The 19,388-nt window shown below is 40.7% G+C and overlaps 1 long non-coding RNA gene across 1 annotated transcript in view; it reads right to left on the reverse strand.

Annotated features, from left to right (window-relative positions):
• Nucleotides 1-699: 699 nt before the first annotated feature.
• The window catches only part of LOC105374060 (uncharacterized), a 302,423-nt gene continuing 283,734 nt past the window's right edge, over nucleotides 700-19,388 (reverse strand). The window contains exon 4 of the long non-coding RNA NR_135547.1: nucleotides 700-981. This is a non-coding gene — a long non-coding RNA (uncharacterized LOC105374060). The remainder of the gene's footprint in view (nucleotides 982-19,388) is intronic.

Genomic DNA, 19,388 nt, shown 5'->3' on the forward strand with positions numbered 1-19,388 from the left:
TAGCAGGCTAGATTTGGCCTATAGGCTTTAGTTTGCCAACTCAAGTATGGGAAATAAATATAGTGTCATTTAATGGAATATTTTTATTTTGATATTTTAGGACTAATCCCCACAGATGTATGTATTATATACATAATAAGAATAAAATAAAGCTTTTGAAATGAAGCAAGTATGCACATTTGATAATCAATGTAGACTGCCCCATTATTTAACTCCAGAAGCCACCATTCACAATGACGTTGTAAAACATTCTAGAAATCTATAGGGTATAATGTGAGTGATGGAGATATGCAACCTCTATGGCCCTATTGGTGGTATTGATACCTCAGTAACGCTACCAGCTTGACAGGGAGAAATTGGTACCAAGAAACGACAAAGGAGTGGCAGTGGCATAGAATTCCTGCATCCTACTTCCTCCAGACACTCTAAGTCTGCCTTCTCCATCCTATTTCTTTCTCCCTCTGCAAACAAAAGGTTCTGATCTCAGAAAAGAGATGGCCTACCAGTCATTTAAACTCAAGTGAGTTTCACAAGTTGCCTTTTTCAGAGTGTTATTACTAAGATTCTTAACTATTGGAGGTAGTCCAAGGAATTATGAGACAATAAGGGAGTGCTCCTGAAATTACAGCTTATTAACTCTTTGCTACTTGTGCTGCCTTTATATTGTTAATCTATTTTTCAGATTCTTTTCTCCAGAAATAGCATTCTTCTGTTTTATTTTTTTGTTTGTTTTTGGAAGTCTTACCCCACATCAAATCTAAGGTTCCAGGGGAAGTTACTAATGAGTACACTTATAACTAATCACAGTTGATCAACTCAAGGACAGGCATGTGACCCAAGCCAGGCCAATCAGAGTTCTCTTCTAGGATATTTCAACTCAGAACTCGGGTAAAAAGGGTGTCTCTCTCTCTCTGGTAGGGAAGCTGCAAAAATGAGTCCTCTGTGTTCAGCCACGTTCCCTGCCATGTCGATGAAGCAGATCTGAAAGAATAAAGCAGGAATGCAGTGAGAAATTGAGAGAAGAGATAGGATTTGAGAGAGATTCTCAATAATATTGTGCCCCTACCTTCTCAGAATGTGGGGATGCCCTTCAGTATCCTAATAAAGTTCACTTTTTGCCCAGAATAATTCAAATAGTATTTTCGCCACTTGTAACCAAAATATGTCTAAAAAATACAGCCCTATAACTCTTAGGTTTCTTCAAGCCTCTGCCCCCTGCCAGATCTGTACTCTTGTTTTATGTTTTTAAGCTCCTTTTTCCTTTCCTTCACTAGGATTATCCCAAATCCTGTCAACTGAGGAAAAGTTAAATTCCCTGCCACTGTATAGCATGCATCAATCATACTCTATACTTATGCCTACATGCTAATAGGGTTTCTGTGGTGTGAGCATCTTTGTAGTTTGACAGAAAACTCTTGATCTACAGACTTTGGGTATTATAAGAAGAATTTAGTCTGCACTCCTTTCCCAATGGCCCTCAGACATAAAGAGAACAAAATAGCAAGTAAGCACGTGATGGGTCACCAATCTCAACAAAGTGCAGGAAAGAAGTATTAATACTTCAAAGGCTTCAATAATCAAATTCTATATCAGCCAACTATAAGAACCCCAATGTCCTAGAAAGGTCAATCCCACCACTTTGTTTTGTTCTCCTTGCTTGTTGGTTGGTTATCATTTTGATAGACAATACAAGCACATGGCACAACCTTGAAAGGTTATAAAAGTGTTCATGGTGAAAAGTAAATCTCTCCCTATCCCTGCCTTTTCCTCTAGCCACCAGTCGGCCTCCCTAATAGCACAGCTCTTTAAAAGTTCCTTGAATATGTTTTCAGAGACTGTCTGTGCATTCATAAAGATATGTGTACATAAAAAGTTTCATACAAATGCCAGTATTAAAATGCATACTATTTTGTTCTTTGCTTTTTTATGTAAAAACATGTCTGTTCTTACCACTTGGAATGATGCATATGTAATCTAAAGAACTAAATCTTCTAGTTACATCCACCTAGGAGCAATACATAAATAGCCACAGTTGAACAGGGAAAAACACTTCCTGAGGTATCTTTCAGACGTGCTTCTTTGTTTTGCCTTCACCCCAACAGCAGTCGGTCTAAAGGAGGAAGCTCAAGTGGGCAAAAATACAATATTGAACTTTGTAGAAGGGTGAAATATCTAGCTGCTCACTAGATCCTAGGGGTGTGAATCTTCATTCTTGAGAGTGTCCAGAAAATTGAAGCACTGTATTTCTTTACACAAGTTGCGAATTTCAGTACCATATGAAATAGAATAAGGTATGACTGCTGGGTTCCAAGTCATTTTACTAAAACAACAAAGGGACAACTAAATGATGGGTTATTGAAAAAAGAAATAGAGAGTTTACCACTAAACTTTTGTGGTTGGCATAACAAGAGAATATCCTATTTTAATTATAACCAAAACCAGGACTAAATGGACCATTAATTTATAGTTATATAATCATTTATTTGTAGGTTCTCTTTAAAGGAATATAACTTCCTGCAGCTCAAAAGACTCATGAGACAGTCTGAATGACCAGTTTTAAGTGATTTTTATCCCCTCTTTGGAAAAGACAGTTTGAAATCTTTCTCTTCTACTGGGCAAATCATTCCATAAAGGAGGACAGCTGTGACATTTATCATCATTTAAATAGATTGGAGTTTCAAAGCATGCACTGTCCTAGATCTAAGTCCGTCATAAATTTTGCATAAGTTTCTTTGTCTGCTCTGAGGAAATAGTCTGACCCTGGGCAGTGCTGTACCTGTTCTTTCCTTTTAAATTCTTCCTCACTTATGCTGTTCTTTCCCCTCATTTTAATAGTCATGGTTTTACTCTGATGGGTCTTACATGAACTATAGTATTTGAAGAGTCATCTTACAGCCATGGCCAAGGAAATATTCACAGCTACCTGACCTGTGCTGACCCTATGGAACTTCTTACCAAGTCAAACCCTGGAGAAAATTATGTCCTTTAACCCTCTTTTTAAATTTCGTTTTTCTCTTTGCATCTCTCCTTCTATCCAGGCAACACAATACCCTCCTATTGCACCGGATTGACCAGGGTCCCTCTCTGTAAGATGTCAGGGAAGCCTGCATTCCCTCCCAGGGCAGTAACTAGGGTCTAGAGACATCTGTCTACTTTCCTCCCTGCAAAATTTATTTGTTATATAACAAACTCAACAGAGGTTTTCCTCAACATGGCTCTGTTGGCATTTTGGATCGCAGAAATATTGAAGTCATGGTGTGCAGATTACTCCTCTGAAGACAACAACTATGAGATTCACAGCTTCCATCCTTCCCAGCAGTGTTCGAAAGTATAATCAGCTCAGGTGCATAAATTATGTTTACAGCATTGAGTTAGGATCTCTGTGTTAACCATATAAAGATTATATGCCTTAGGTGGATGGTGTCATGTTTCTAATTTATCTTGGCATTCATTTAAACACAAACCAGCCTCTCTATTTCATGACATTTTCTTCCCAGCAGTAGGCTCCTACTCAAGGACACTATACTTTGTGCTCAGTCAGGCTGTTTCCTTTAGATCCCTTTTGAACCAAAGAAATCAACAATCTTCCCTCTATGGGCCGCCAGATCTCTTCTTTCTGTGCCATCTCAGATTTATTCCCAGGTTCCCAAATTTCATCATTAGCTGGTACGTCCCAGAATCTGCCCAGAGAAAATCTGAATAGATTTTTCTCTGTCCTGGAGATGCAGCCTCCTATATGGCACTACTAAGCTCAGCCTCCAATCTCTGAGTTTCCCTTAGTATCTCTATGATGAGCTGTCTCTCCTCTTGGTTCTTTCACTAAATGCCTCCCCTAATAGGCTAGCTAAAGGTCCTCCCCTCTTAATTGGCTTCTCAGAGGTTCACTTTTCTTTAGGTAGCCCCAGGTTCTCTCTAACCCCCACTGTTCCTTCACAATAACCCAGCTGGCATCAGTAGCCCACCTGGATACCACTTAACTGAGAACTGCCACAAGCATTAGCATGGTAAGGCACAAATTATCTACACTTCTTTTCCTAGAATCCCTTTCCCTGGCAACATGTATCATTTAAAATCCCACATTTACATTTTGTCTCAGCTGATCCAAGGCCAGGGGAAATCACATGGGAAAGATTGATATTTGTTTACCTAAGTTATTGCAAAAGAAGTTTGCATAATCTTTTAAAATATCTGATGAGGCCAGGTGTGGTGGTGGCTCATACCTGTAATCCCAGCACTTTGGGAGGCTGAGGCAGGCAGATGACCTGAGGTCAGGAGTTCCAGAACAACCTGACCAACATGGAGAAACCCTGTCTGCTAAAAATACAAAATTAGCTGGGTGTGGTGGCATATGCCTGTAATCTCAGCTACTCAGGAGGCTGAGGCAGGAGAATGGCATGAACACTGGAGGCAGACGTTGCCGTGAGCCGAGATCACACCATTGCACTCCAGCCTGGGCAACAAGAGTGAAACTCTGTCTCAAAAAAAAAAAAAAAAAAAAAAAAAAAAAAAACCTGATGAATTAGTTCATAATAAAATGTTAATAACTGGAAACAGGCTGGAAAGAATTTTGTACGCAGACAGACCTGGTTTTCAATCCTAGATTAGCTAAACTTGGTTTGGACTCTGTTTAAACTTGGGGAAGTTAGGAAACTTCTCATCTTCAGATTCATCTACTAAATGAGCATATGTATTACTTACCTCTCAGGAGTAATAGCAATAACACTGATAATGTGTCCAGTAGATATTCAACAGATGTTATGTCCTATCTCGCCTCTTCAGGGTATTTGTGTTATTTTAAGGGGTTACAGTGACTTCCTCAAAGAGTTTATGAAGGCATCAGAAAGATGCTGTTTGAGGACAAACTTTGCAACAAGGCCTTGCCAAGTGTTTCTGACATTATATCGTATAGATAACATTATTCTAGCTAAGAAATGAAGATAGCTATGCTATTAAGTACTTGACTGGCCATTCTTCCCTATTATCCCTGTTATTTCCTGTCATTGTTGGTCAATAAGTTTCTGCCATTTCGTTAACTGAAGTCCAAGTTTCTGATTATATGATATTTGAATAAATATTTCAAAATGTAGAATTTGGGGCTTTCTGTGGAATTGATGACCACCCATTCAGCAATCAAGCTGTATTGCAAAATGTAGAGAACTCTACTACACCGATTACTTTAATATTCCTGTAGCAATCATTGTATTTCCTTGCCCAGGACCTATTCCATCTCTTCTGGCAATAGATTTTGTGCTCTTCAGCATTAAAATGAGTATGTGAACCAAGCTGAGCCAATAAAATTAATGATGAGGTGCACAAAATTCTATCCCAAAATATGGCACCCTGGATATTGAGAAAACAGTAGAAGCAGAAAGGCCACTCTCAATGTCCTCTCACCCTTTTTTCCTGAAACAGGCCATAAAACCTAGAAAGGTCACTTTCTGACTTTCTCCCTCCCTTCTCCCCTGAAGACCCTCTTGTGACAGGTGCCCACCCTGTACCTGAAGGAAAGGAAAGTCCTTATCTCTGAAGACACAGAGACACCAAGAAGAAACTGAACAGACAGGCCTTGCTATATCCCTGCCAGTTTATTACCACTAGAGCTAACGCTTTTGTCCTTTAATAAAAATCCAGTTTTCTCTGTTTCTTCGGGTCTTCTTTTCTGAAGTTTCCCATGTCATGTACAACAAATAAATGTACATGCTCTTCTCTTGTTAATCTGTCTTTTATTACACCAGTCTTAGCCATGAGCATTACGGTTTCTGCAATAGGTAAGAAATCCTTTTTCCCCTACATTGTCCAACTGTCTGGCAACTGAGATTGGCCTGGGATAGATGCATAACCATGCAGATTTCTGCTTCAGGACATTTCTGGATTAAAGGAGCAGAAATCATGTCTTTCCTCTCTGATGGCAGAACTGCTGGGCAATGAGTTCAGGGCTGCAAGTAGCCATGTTTCCTGTCATATGGGGGAATAAAACTTGTCTATATTAAGAAAAAATAAACTCAATATGTGAGAAAAGCTGAGAAGTGACACAGAGGTAGAGACAGGGCCCTGACAACATCACAGACCATGGATCCAATTGTCCTTGAGGCCAATGTCACCTTTTCTGTGATATGCTCCATGGGCAATAAACTCTCCTTCACCGTCAATGAGAATTTTGTTATTTTTAAGTAAAAATGTTCCTTTTGGTAAAATTTTCATCTTCTTAGCTCAACTCTTTAGGAAAATTCACAACCCTCACCAAAATAAATAGATTGCCCTATACCATGGGAATCCACTCATAACCTTGAGGAAGAGATGACTTTCATTTTTCCTATTAATCTACTTTTCTATCCCGTCTCCTTTCTTCTGCTATCTTACTTCATTTGTTTACCCCTTCTGACATCTTTTCCTTTTCTTTAGGGGTTTTTGTTTTTATCCTCAAACAATCTTAGTTTCACTGAATCATGTTGATGCTTCAACATAACATGCCATCTGGTCAAGATATGCTAGGCTTTGCTGCAATAACATCACCATCTCAGAGGAAACAACAAGGCTTCATTTAGTGCTCATATTAGGTGTACCACAGGGCAGGTGACTCTCCAGAACAAATATCTGTATGTGGCAACTCAAAATCCCATCTAATGCATACATCCTCCATGGCTAGGGGAGGATGTATGCATTAGATGTATAATAGTACCCTTTATATTCTTTATACAACCATACTATAATTGTACATCTAATGCATACATCCTCCATGGCTAGCACAAGAGGGGAAGAGAAGGATGGAGATTTGCACACAAGCTCTGCCCAACACTGATACATGTCACATTTGCAGAAATTTTACTGGCAAAAGCACCTCCACGGTCAAAGATTCTCTCTGGGGAAAAAGAAGAGAATTGGATATGGGTGAGCTTTGGAGGTTTCTACCACACTTCTCACTTCTTTGTTTTACCACTAGAATTCTTAAGCAATTAGGCCATAATCAATGTTAACTTTAACCACTCAATTCTTAACTACTTGCAAATTTGCTTGACTAGACTGCGGGTTGGTTGTAGCTCTGCTGAAAGCTGGGGCCCTGCCCTTGTGTCTTCTTCTCTGGGATCTAAGCAAAGAAGCAGCTCCCACATTTCTGTTTAGCTATTTCATTCCTCACCTTTGCTCTCGTGCCTTTAATTAGCCAAAGTATATCCTGCATCCAAACCCAAAATCTATGAGGCTGGGAAGCATACTCCTCCCACAGGAGGCACACAAAGTCACATGGCAATGGGTGAGGACTCTCCTAGAAGGAAACCAACTTGAATAATAGTAGGCAATAATGTCGTCTGCCCCAGAACTCTGCTGGCACTGCTCTCTTGACCTTTTCTTGTTCTGCCAACCTTCTCTTATTTAGGGCCCCTCATTTTAAATTGTCTCAACCACAACATCCATGCAAACAGTATATAATTTACATCTCTGATACTATTTGTTTCTCTCAAGATTTCATTTAAAATATTAAATAATTTGCTGGAATTCTAAATTGTCTAAATTGCAATTCCCATCACCACCCCACAGACATACCTTAAATATATTTCCTCAGGTAAGCACTTTTCCATCATATCAGGGCTCAGTACACAATACCCTGAAGTATGGTGCCTTAACATACTGAGTACTATGAACTGAAGACCAATGGAGGGTCTCAGAAGCAAGGTCATTCTGTCCTTCTCCTGCCCTTCTGTCTCCTGGCCTCTCCTCCAAAGTGAAACATAGAAACCAGAATTCCTCTTTCCCATGGCAGGTCATAGAAACTGCAATTCTACTCCCCTCAAAGAAAGCCACAAAACCTAGAGGTCACTTTCTGCTCTATCTCCCCTGAAAGTGGGTCATAAGACCCTCATTCCAGAAAGATCCTACCCCATACCCAGGGAAAAGGAATACCACACAGAAAGGCCAAAAGAAATCTAAACAAACAGGCTTTGCTAAGTTCACCCCAGTTTTATTATCACTAGGTAATACTTTTTTTTTTTTTTTTGCATTGTGTTTCCCTACAACCAACCTCTTCTTTCATCAGACAAAACACAGTTTTCCCTGGGTCTTTGGGTCTTCATTTCTGAAGGCTCCCATGTCATACAAAACTTCGTAAAATAAATTTGTTATGCTATTCACTTGCTAGCCTGTTTTTTGTTACAGGAATATCAGGTATGACCCTTGCAATGGGTGAGGAACCTTTTTGCCCCTACAATACATTCTCATTTCTGTCTGAGGTAGCATCATTTTCTGAGCCATTCCCTGCCGTATAACCTCAGTGTCATTCTTAAATCTTACTTCTTTATCTCTCCTCGCATACTGTGAAAACTCAATTGTTATCCAATATTTCTCACTAATCTTTTGTTCTTTCCCATTATCTAGATCTACTAGATGATCCAGGTACTTATTATCTAGATTATTCCAGTATTCTTCCTATTTAGATAACTCATAACCCAAAAATTTTATTCCTAAGTATATGCCCTTTAGAATTCTCAGACACATGCAAAAAAAAAAAAAAAAATGACAAGAATTTTCACTTAAGCATTGAGTGGAAGAGTAAAAATCAGGAAAACATGTATGTGTGCATCAACGAGAGAACTGATAAATGAATTCTCGTATATGTATAGAGTGAAATAGTATACAACATTAGAAAATGAATAAACTTAATCTCTATATATTAACATGCATGATTTTCACAATGAAATATGAGCTAAGACCAGATGCGGTGGCTCAAGCCAGTAATCCCAGCACTTGGGGAGGCCAAAGTGGGCAGATCACCTGAGGTCAGGAGTTTGAGATCTGCCTGGCCAACATGGCAAAACCCCACCTCTACTTAAAATACAAAAATTAGCTGCAAATGATGGCAGGCACCTGTAATTCCAGCAACTAGGGAGGTTGAGGCAGGAGAATCGCTTGAAACCAGAAGGTGGAGGTTGTAGTGAGCTGTTCACACCAGCGCCACTGCACTCCAGTCTAGGCAACAGAGCAAGGCTCCATCTCAATTAAAAAAAAAAAGAGTTAAAACACCAACATTGATCCCATTCCAAGATGGCTGAATAGGAACAGCTCTGGTCTGCAGCTCCCAGTGTGATCAACTCAGAAGACGGGTGATATCTGCATTTCCAACTGAGGTACCTGGTTCATCTAATTGGGACTGGTTGGACAGTGGGTGCAGCCCATGGTGGGTGAGCTGAAGCAGGGCAGGGCGTTGCCTTACCCAGGAAGCACAAGGGGTTGGAGGATTTCCCTTTCCTAGCCAAGAGAAGCCATGACAGACTGTACCTGGAAAAACAGGACACTTCCACCCAAATACTGCACTTTTCTCACAGTCTTAGCAACCGGCAGACCAGGAGATTTTCTCCCATGCCTAGCTCTGTAGGTTCAATGCCAACGGAGCCTTGCTCACTGCTAGTCTGAGATCGACCTGCGAGGTCTGAGATCTACCTGCGAGGCGGCAGCCTGGCAGGGGGAGAGGCATCTGCCATTGCTGAGGCTTGAGTAGGTAAACAAAGTAGCCAGGAAGCTTGAACTGGGCAGAGGACACCACAGCTCAGCAAGGCCTACTGCCTCTATAGACTCCACCTCTGTGGGCAGGGCATAGCTGAACAAAAGGCAGCAGAAACTTCTGCAGACTTAAACGTCCCTGCCTGACAGCTCTGAAGAAAGCAGTGGTTCTCCTGGCATGATGTTTGAGCTCTGAGAACAGACAGACTGCCTCCTCAAGTGGGTCCTTGATCCCCATGTAGCCTAACTGGGAGACACCTCCCAGTAGGGGCTGATAGACACCTCATATAGGCAGCTTCCCCTCTGGGATGAAGCTTCCAGAGGAAGGACCAGGCAACAATATTTCCTGTTCTGCAATATTTGCTGTTCTGCAGCCTCCGCTGTTGATATCCAGGCAAACAGGGTCTGGAGTGGACCTCCAGCAAACTCCAACAGACCTGCAGCTGAGGTTCCTGACTGTTAGAAGGGAAACTAACAATTAGAAAGGAATAGCATCAACATCAAAAAAAGGACATCCACACCAAAACCCCATCTGCAGGTCACCAACATCAAAGACCAAAGGTAGATAAAACCACAAAGATGGGGAGAAACCAGAGCAGAAGAGCTGAAAATTCTAAAAACCAGAGCACCGCTTCTCCTCAAAAGAATCACAGCTCCTCACCAGCAATGGAACAAAGCTGAATGGAGAATGACTTTGATGAGTTGACAGAAGTAGGCTTCAGAAGGTTCGTAATAACAAACTCCTCCAAGCTAAAGGAGCATGTTCTAACCCATCACAAGGAAGCTAAAAACCTTGACAAAATGTTAGATGAATGGCTAACTAGAATAAACAGTGTAAAGAAGACGTTAAATGGCCTGATGGAGCTGAAAACCATGGCACGAGAACTTCGTGATGCATGCACAAGCTTCAGTAGCCGATTCGATCAAGTGGAAGAAGGAATATCAATGACTGAAGATCAAATTCATGAAATAAAACGAGAAGACAAGTTTAGAGGAAAAAGAGTAAAAAGAAATGAACAAAGCCTCCAAGAAACATGGGACTATGTGAAAAGACCAAAACTATGTTTGATTGGTGTACCTGAAAGTGACGGGGAGAATGGAACCAAGTTGAAAAACACTCTTCAGGATATTATCCAAGAGAACTTCCCCAACCTAGCAAGACAGGCCCACATTCAAATTCAGGAAATACAGAGAACACCACAAAGATACTCCTTGAGAAGAGCAACCCCAAGACACATTATTGTCAGATTCATCAAGATTGGAATGAAGGAAAAAATGTTAAGGGCAGCCAGAGAGGAAGGTCGGGTTACCCACAAAGGGAAGCCCATCAGACTAACAGCGGATCTCTTGGCAGAAACCCTACAAGCCAAAAGAGAGTGGGGGTCAATATTCAACATTCTTAAAGAAAAGAATTTTCAACTCAGAATCTCATATCCAGTCAAACTAAGCTTCATAAGTGAAGGAGAAATAAAATCCTTTACAGACAAGCAAATGCTGAGAGATTTTGTCACCACCAGGCCTGACTTACAAGAACTCCTGAAGGAAGCACTAAACATGTAAAGGAACAACCAGTACCAGCCACTGCAAAAACATGCCAAATAGTAAAGACCATTGATGCTATGAAGAAACTGCATCAATTAATGGGCAAAATAACCAGCTAACTTCATAATGACAGGATCAAATTCACACATAACAATATTAACCTTAAATGCAAATGGGCTAAATGCCCCAATTAAAAGACACAGACTGACAAATTGGATAAAGAGTCAAGACCCATCAGTGTGCTGTATCAGGAGACCCATCTCACATGCAGAGACACACATAGCTTCAAAATAAAGGGATGGAAGAAGATCTACCAAGCAAATGGAAAGCAAGAAAAAAGTAGGGGTGGCAATCCTAGTTTCTGATAAAACAGACTTTAAACCAACAGAGATCAAAAGAGACAAAGAAGGCCATTGCATAACGATAAAGGTATCAATTCAACAAGAAGAGTTAATTATCCTAAATATATATGCACCCAATACAGGAGCACCCAGATTCATAAAACAAGTCCTTAGAGACCTACAAACAGACTTAGACTCCCACAAAATAATAATGGGAGATTTTAACACCCCACTGTCAACATTAGACAGATCAATGAGACAGAGGGTTAACAAGGATATCCAGGACTTGAACTCAGCTCTGCACCAAGCAGACCTAATACACATCTACAGAACTCTCCACCCCAAATCATCAATCATCAGAATATACATTCTTCTCAGCACCACACTGCACTTATTCTAAAATTAACCATGTAATTGGAAGTAAAGCACTCCTCAGCAAATGTAAAATAATAGAAATCACAACAAACTGTCTCTCAGATCACAGTGCAATCAAATTCGAACTCAGGACGAATAAACTCACTCAAAACCACACAACTGCATGGAAACTGAACAACCTGCTCCTGAATGACTACTGGGTAAATAAAGAAATGAAGACAGAAATAAAGATGTTCTTTGAAACCAAAGAGAACAAAGACACAACGTATCAGAATCTCTGGGACACATTTAAAGCAGCGTGTAGAGGGAAGTTTGCAGCACTAAATGCCCACAAGAGAAAGCAGGAAAGATCTAAAATTGACACCCTAACATCACCATTAAAAGAACTAGAGAAGCAAGGGCAAACAAATTCAAAAGCTAGCAGAAGGCAAGAAATAACTAAGATCGGAGCCAAACTGAAGGAGATAGAGACACAAAAAAACCCTTCAAAAAACCAATGAATCCAGGAGCTAGTTTTTTGAAAAGATCAACAAAATTGATAGAGTGCTAGCAAGACTAATACAGAAGAAAAGAGAAGAATCATATAGACACAATAAAAAATGATAAACAAGAATCACCACTGACCCCACAGAAATACAAACTACCATCAGAGAATACTGTAAACACCTCTAGGCAAATAAACTAGAAAATCTAGAAGAAATGGATAAATTCCACGACACACACACCCTCCCAAGACTAAACCAGGAAGAAGTTGAATCTTTGAATAGACCAATAAGAGACTCTGAAATTGAGGCAATAATTAATAGCCTACCAACCAAAAAAAGTCCAGGACCAGACGAATTCACAGCTGAATTCTACCAGAGGTACAAAGAGGAGCTGGTACCATTCCTTCTGAAACTATTCCACTCAATAGAAAAAGAAGGAATCATTCCTAACTCATTTTATGAGGCCAGCATCATCCTGATACCAAAGCCTGGCAGAGACACAACAAAAAAGAGAGTTTTAGACCCATATCCCTGATGAACATCGATGCAAAAATCCTCAGTAAAATACCGGCAAACCGAATCCAGCAGCACATCAAAAAGCTTATTCACCATGCTCAAGTTGGCTTCATCCCTGGGATGCAAGGCCGGTTCAACATATGCAAATAAATAAACATAATCTATCACATAAACAGAACCAACTACAAAAACCACATGATTACCTTAATAGGTGCAGAAAAGGCCGTCGACAAAATTCAACACCCCTTCTTGCTAAAAACTCTCAATAAATTAGGTACTGATGAAACGTATCTCAAAATAATAAGAGCTATCTATGACAAACCCACGGCCAATATCATACCGAATGGGCAAAAACTAGATGCATTCCCTTTGAAAACTGACACAAGACAAGGATGCCCTCTCTCACCACTCCTATTCAACATAGTGTTGGAAGTTCTGGCCAGGGAAATCAGGGAAGAGAAAGAAATGAAGTGTATTCAATTAGAAAAAGAGGAAGTCAAAATGTCCCTGCTTGCAGATGACATGATTGTCTATTTAGAAAACCCCATCATCTCAGCCCAAAAACTCCTTAAGCTGATAAGCAACTTCAGCAAAGTCTCAGGATACAAAATCAAGGTGCAAAAATCACAAGCATTCCTATACACAAATAACAGACAAACAGAGAGCCAAATCATGAGTGAACTCCCATTCACAATAGCTGCAAAGAGAATAAATACCTAGGAATCCAACTTACAAGGGATGTGAAGGACCTCTTCAAGGAGAACTACAAACCACTGCTCAATGAAATAAAAGAGGACACAAACAAATAGAAGAAAATTCCATGCTCCTGGATAGGAAGAATCAATATCATGAAAATGGCGATACTGCCCAAGGTAATTTATAGATTCAATGCCATCCTCATCAAGCTTCCAATGACTTTCTTCACAGAATTGGAAAAAAGTACTTTAAAGTTCATATGGAACCAAAAAGAGCTCACATAGCCAAGACAATTCTAAGCCAAAAGAACAAAGCTGGAGGCATCACGCTACCTGACTTCAAACTATACTACAAGGCTATATAGTAACCAAAGCAGCATGTTACTGGTACCATAACAGATGTATAGACCAATGGAACAGAACAGAGGCCTCAGAAATAATACCACACATCTACAACCATCTGATCTTTGACAAAACTGACAAAAACAAGAAATAGGGAAAGGAATCCCTATTTAATAAATGGTGCTGGGAAAACTGGCTAGCCATATGTAGAAAGCTGAAACTGCATCCCTTCCTTACACCTTATACAAAAATTAATTCAAGATGGATTAAAGACTGAAATGTCACACCTAAAACCATAAAAACCCTAGAAGAAAACCTAGGCAATACCATTCAGGACATAGGTATGGGCAAGGATTTCATGTCTAAAACACCAAAAGCAATGGCAACAAAAGCCAAAATAGACAAATGGGATCTAATTAAACTAAAGAGCTCCTGCATGGCAAAAGAAACTACCATCAGAGTGAACAGGCAACCTACAGAATGGGAGAAAAATTTTGCAGTCTACCCATCTGACTAATATCCAGAATCTACAAAGAACTTAAAGAAATTTACAAGAAAAAAACAACCCCATCAAAAAGTGGGCAAAGGATATGAACAGACACTTCTCAAAAGAAGACATTTATGCAGCCAACAGACACATGAAAAAATGCTCATCATTGTTGGTCATCAGAAAAATGCAAATCAAAACCACAATCAGATACCATCTCACACCAGTTAGGATGGTGATCATTAAAAAGTCAGGAAACAACAAATGCTGGAGAGGATGTGGAGAAATAGGAATGCTTTTACACTGTTGGTGGGACTGTAAGTTAGTTCAACCACTGCAGAAGGCAGTGTGGCGATTCCTTAAGGATCTAGAACTAGAAATACCATTTGACCCAGTGATCCCATTACTGGGTATATACCCAGAGGATTATAAATCATGCTACTATAAAGACACCTGCACATGTATGTTTACTGCAGCACTATTCACAATAGCAAAGACTTGGAACCAACCTAAATGTCCATCAATGATAGACTGGATAAAGAAAATGTGGCACATACACACCATGGAATACTATGCAGCCATAAAAACGTACGAGTTTATGTCCTTTGTAGGGACATGGATGAAGCTGGAAACCATCATTCTCAGCAAACTATCACCAAGACAGAAAACCAAACACCGCATGTTCTCTCTCATAGGTGGGAATTGAACAATGAGAACACTTGGACACAGGGTGGGGAACATCACACACCAGGGCCTGGTTGGGGGTTGGGAACTGGGGGAGGGATAGCATTAGGAGAAATACCTAATATAAATGCTGAGTTGATGAGTGCAGCAAACCAACATGGCACATGTATACCTATGTAACAAACCTGCAGGTTGTGCACATGTACCCTAGAACTTAAGGTATAATAATAAAAGAAAAAACTTGCAAAAAAAACCTCGCAACATTACTATAATGTATTTAACACGATATTCTTTTGATAAATATTTTTAAACATGGAAATGATAATATCATTGTTTAGTAAAACAATTTACTAAAAGTTTTTATTTATTTATTTATTTTTTTGAGATAGGGTCTCACTCTGTTACCCAAGCTGGAGTACAATGGCATGATCACAGCTCACTGCAGCCTCCACCTCCCCAGGCCAGATGATCCTCCCATCTCAGCCTCCCAAGTAGCTGGGACTACAGGTGCATGCCACCATACCTGGCTACGTTTTGTATTTTTTGTAGAGAGGAGGTCTCACTATGTTGCCCAGGCTGGTCTCAAACTTTTGGGCTCAAGCAGTCCTCCTGTCTCGGCCTTCCAAAGTGCTCAGATTACAGGCATGAGCCACTGCACCCAGACTGTAAATGTATTTTTTTAAAGTGTGTAATTCATAAATACCACAATTGTGATAACAGTTACTCAGCAGGGGACAAGCACTGGGGGAAAAGAAGGACACTATGCCTAAAGAGGGGTACACAGAGGATTTCAATTGTATTTATAATGTCTTATTTCTTCAGGTGGGTTGTGGATACACAGTTTTTTATGCTTTTATTTTGTATTCTTTATGATTTTAACCTGCCAAAAATACTTAGGTATATACCATATATTTTTAAAATATCTCCTATCTAATCTCTCCATTCTAGACTCTGCTCACCTCAAACCATCTTGAACATTGGCTAGACTAATCTTTCTAAAATACCATTTTGCTTTGTCTTCTATTTTCAAGGCTCTGGCAATTCTATGTCACCTATAAAATAAACAAACTTCACATGTTTTAGTGTGCTATTTAAAGCCCCCAAAGAACTTGGAACCATCCCTGTCTCCATCTTCCTTAGTTCTTTTCCTGAAATATCCTCTTTTCCTGCCTGCTTACTTAAGTCTTAATCTTCCCTTTAGTATCCGGTCCACCCATCGTTTTTTGTGGGTTTTTTTGTTTGTTTGTTTGTTTTTTTGAGACGGAGTTTCGCTCTTGTTGCCCAGGCTGGAGTGCAATGGCGCGATCTCAGCTCACCACAACTTCTACCTCCTGGGTTCAAGCGATTCTCCTGCCTCAGCCTCCCTCATAGCTGGGATTACAGGCATGCGCCACCACGACCAGCTAATTTTGTATTTTTAGTAGAGACAGGGTTTTTTTATGTTGGTCAGGCTGATCTTGAACTCCCAACCTCTGGTGATCCACCCGCCTTGGCCTCCCAAAGTGCTGGGATTACATGCATGAGCCACCATGCCCGGCCTCACTCATCTTTTTCTCTTCAAGCCTCCATTAAGGGTGGAATAAATGGCCCTCTTTTGTAACTACAGCTATTCCCCTACATATACTCTTGGGCCTCTTTCCTCCTGTATCCTCAGGGAACATGTTCTATCAATTTGCCTGCTTTCTTTTAACTTGCTTTGTCTTCTGCATTCCTTTGTCTCCTATAAAACCCCCTTTATCAAGTCTTTCCTCCCCAGTCAAACCTGAGGGTTGAACATCCACCAGTTTGCATTCTCCCTATATTTTTTAGGTACTGTCAAGAATGGTGAAAAGTCAAAGATTTTGCCCAGCTTGTAAGCCAGGAAGTTAGCCTGCCACAGTTTGACAGATATTGGCAAAAGGCAAGAGATTCACAGGTTAGAGACAAAGTATTATTCCCTCACCACAAAAGCAGTAATCAGAACATCAGCATTTTCTTATACTGGTTCCCAAAGCCCTAGTTCCTGTAAGATGATGCAGAAGGTCATGTGAGATCTGCACACACAGTGGGTTATACTACAGAAGAGAAATCCTGAGCCTAAGGAACCTGAAGGTTTTATAATGATCAGTAAGCACCCTTGCCCTTTCCTTTGGACGGACATATTATCTTTCTCTTCCAAGGCTGTTGGCCATACAAACTTCCTTAAAAAGATATATCTGAAAAAAGACAATCAGTGCCTCTGCTCAAGAGACATGGAGAAATTTGATACCCATGGAGAACTGTTTTCCAAAAGTTACTAGTCCTCTTGCCCTTACTACAGTGTAAAATCCTTAAGAACAGGATTTGGCAAACATTTTATTAAAGAGTCAAATGGTAAATACTTTAGGCCTGTAGACTACACAGTTTCTGCCATTGTAGCTCAAAAGAAGCCATAAACAATTGTAAAATAATGGGTGTGACTATATTCCAATACACATTTAGTTACAAAAACAGGAGGCTGGCCCATGGGTCATTGTATATTGACCCCTGCTTAAGAACATCAGAACATTTTATTTATGTGCCACACACTATTGTAGATGCAGACGATATCTCAGTGAATAAAACAGATGAAACTGAAACTGGAGAGTTCCCCAACCCCACTTGCAGGGAGTGCAACAGGGGTGTGCCTTGTCTGTTCGGCTGCTGTGCATGCTCAAACCCCTTACAGGAGGGGGAGCATGCAGACGGGCAAGTGCAAGAGCCAGGCTGAGTTTAGGGGTGGGTGCCTATGACTCCTTAAGCCCCAGTGGACATGCTACAGTGCTCTTTTAGCTCTGCCATCTGCAGATGGCTTAAGTGTTAACCAGCTCAGTGCCCTCTTGGTACCTGGGTTCTTGTCCGGAGACCAGGAAGAATCAGGTTGCATGCAGACTTGAAGGATGAATGTGGGGGTTTTATTGAGTGGTGGAGGTGGCTCTCAGCAGGAAGGATGGGGAACTGGAAAAGGGATGGAGTGGGAAGATAATCTTCCCCTGGAGTTTGGCCACCCAGTGGCCAGTCTCCTCTCTGACTGTCCCCAGCCTCTTCTCTCCTTCTCCGCCGTGCCATTCTGCTGCTCTTCTGCTCTTCTGTTTGTCTACTAATGGAACCTGGGGTTTGGTATTTATATGGGTACAGGACAGGGGTGTGTGGCAGGCCAAAATGCAACTTTTGGGCACAAAAAACAGAAATGCCTGTTCCCATTTAGGGCTGCAGGTTGCCAGGCTCCAGGTTGGGGCCTTTGCCAGGGAACCCCTCTCTTATACCCAGTATTTCCCTGTCTCCTGTCTATATCAAAACCACCTCATCAACCACATATTCTACTGGAAGAACACAGCAACAAACAATAAATTAGTAAAACATTATAAGATGGTAAGTGCTATGGGGAAAAATTAAGCAGAAAAGGAGGATGATACTGAGGGAAGTAAATTTTAGATAACAGGTCAGGAAAGGCATCAGTTGGAAGGCGACATAAGTGAAAAGATCAAGGGAGTGGTGATATCTGGTGATATCTATGAGAAAAGCATTCCAAGCAAAGGGAGCACATGCAAATATCCTGGGAAGACAGAACTTTGGGACTGTTGGAGGAACAGTAAGAAGGCTACAGTGCTGAGGCAGAGCTAGCAGGAGGATGGTAAGAGATGTGCTTGGAGAGGTAACTGGAGGATTGAACAAAGGAGCAACCTGTGTTGACTTGTATTTTTAAATGCAAATCTGTTGCTTTGGGAATAGTTTGAACTAGGGCAAGGGTGGAAGCAGGAAGGTAATTCAGGATGACTTTAAACTAATCAAGGCAGACGTGATTGCTCAGACCAGAGTAATAGCAGTCACATTCTGAATACATTTGAACATAGAGCCAATAGAATTTTCTGGTAGGTTAGATGTGGCGTGGGAGAGAAAGAGTGGAGTCAAGGACTATAGCAAAGTGTTTAGCCTGAGCTACTAGAAGAATGAAGTAGCCACTAAGTGAAATCAGAACACTGAGAGAGGAGCAGATCTAGGGACAGATCAGGAGTTCTGCCTCAGAATTTTAAGTGGATACTCCATACATGTGTTGGGGATAATAAGCTACCTACTTAACAAATCTGCCTAAGGCCAGCCCTGCAGCCCAGAAGTGTGTATCAGGAAACTCTAAATGCTAATAGCCAGCATCCTTCTCTCCTATCTACAGAGTCTGGCCCACGGCCTCTGTAGATGGGTCAGCTGGAACATTAATTCAGATTGCTTCTCTGGCCAAATAGACACAGAATGATGACAAGGGTCCTTTGTCTAGACTTCATCTGATGAAGGACAAATCCAGCAAATGAAGAAAAGGTTGTCTGTCTATCAAAATGCATATTCATTAAACTCTTTATCAACTGTCAGCCCAAGAGGGAGAATGACAGATTTTTAACAAGATAATTTGAGGAACACTCCCTACACATATTGAAGTAAA

The sequence above is a fragment of the Homo sapiens genome, chromosome 3 (assembly GCF_000001405.40).
Source record: "Homo sapiens chromosome 3, GRCh38.p14 Primary Assembly".
Classification (NCBI taxonomy): domain Eukaryota; kingdom Metazoa; phylum Chordata; class Mammalia; order Primates; family Hominidae; genus Homo; species Homo sapiens.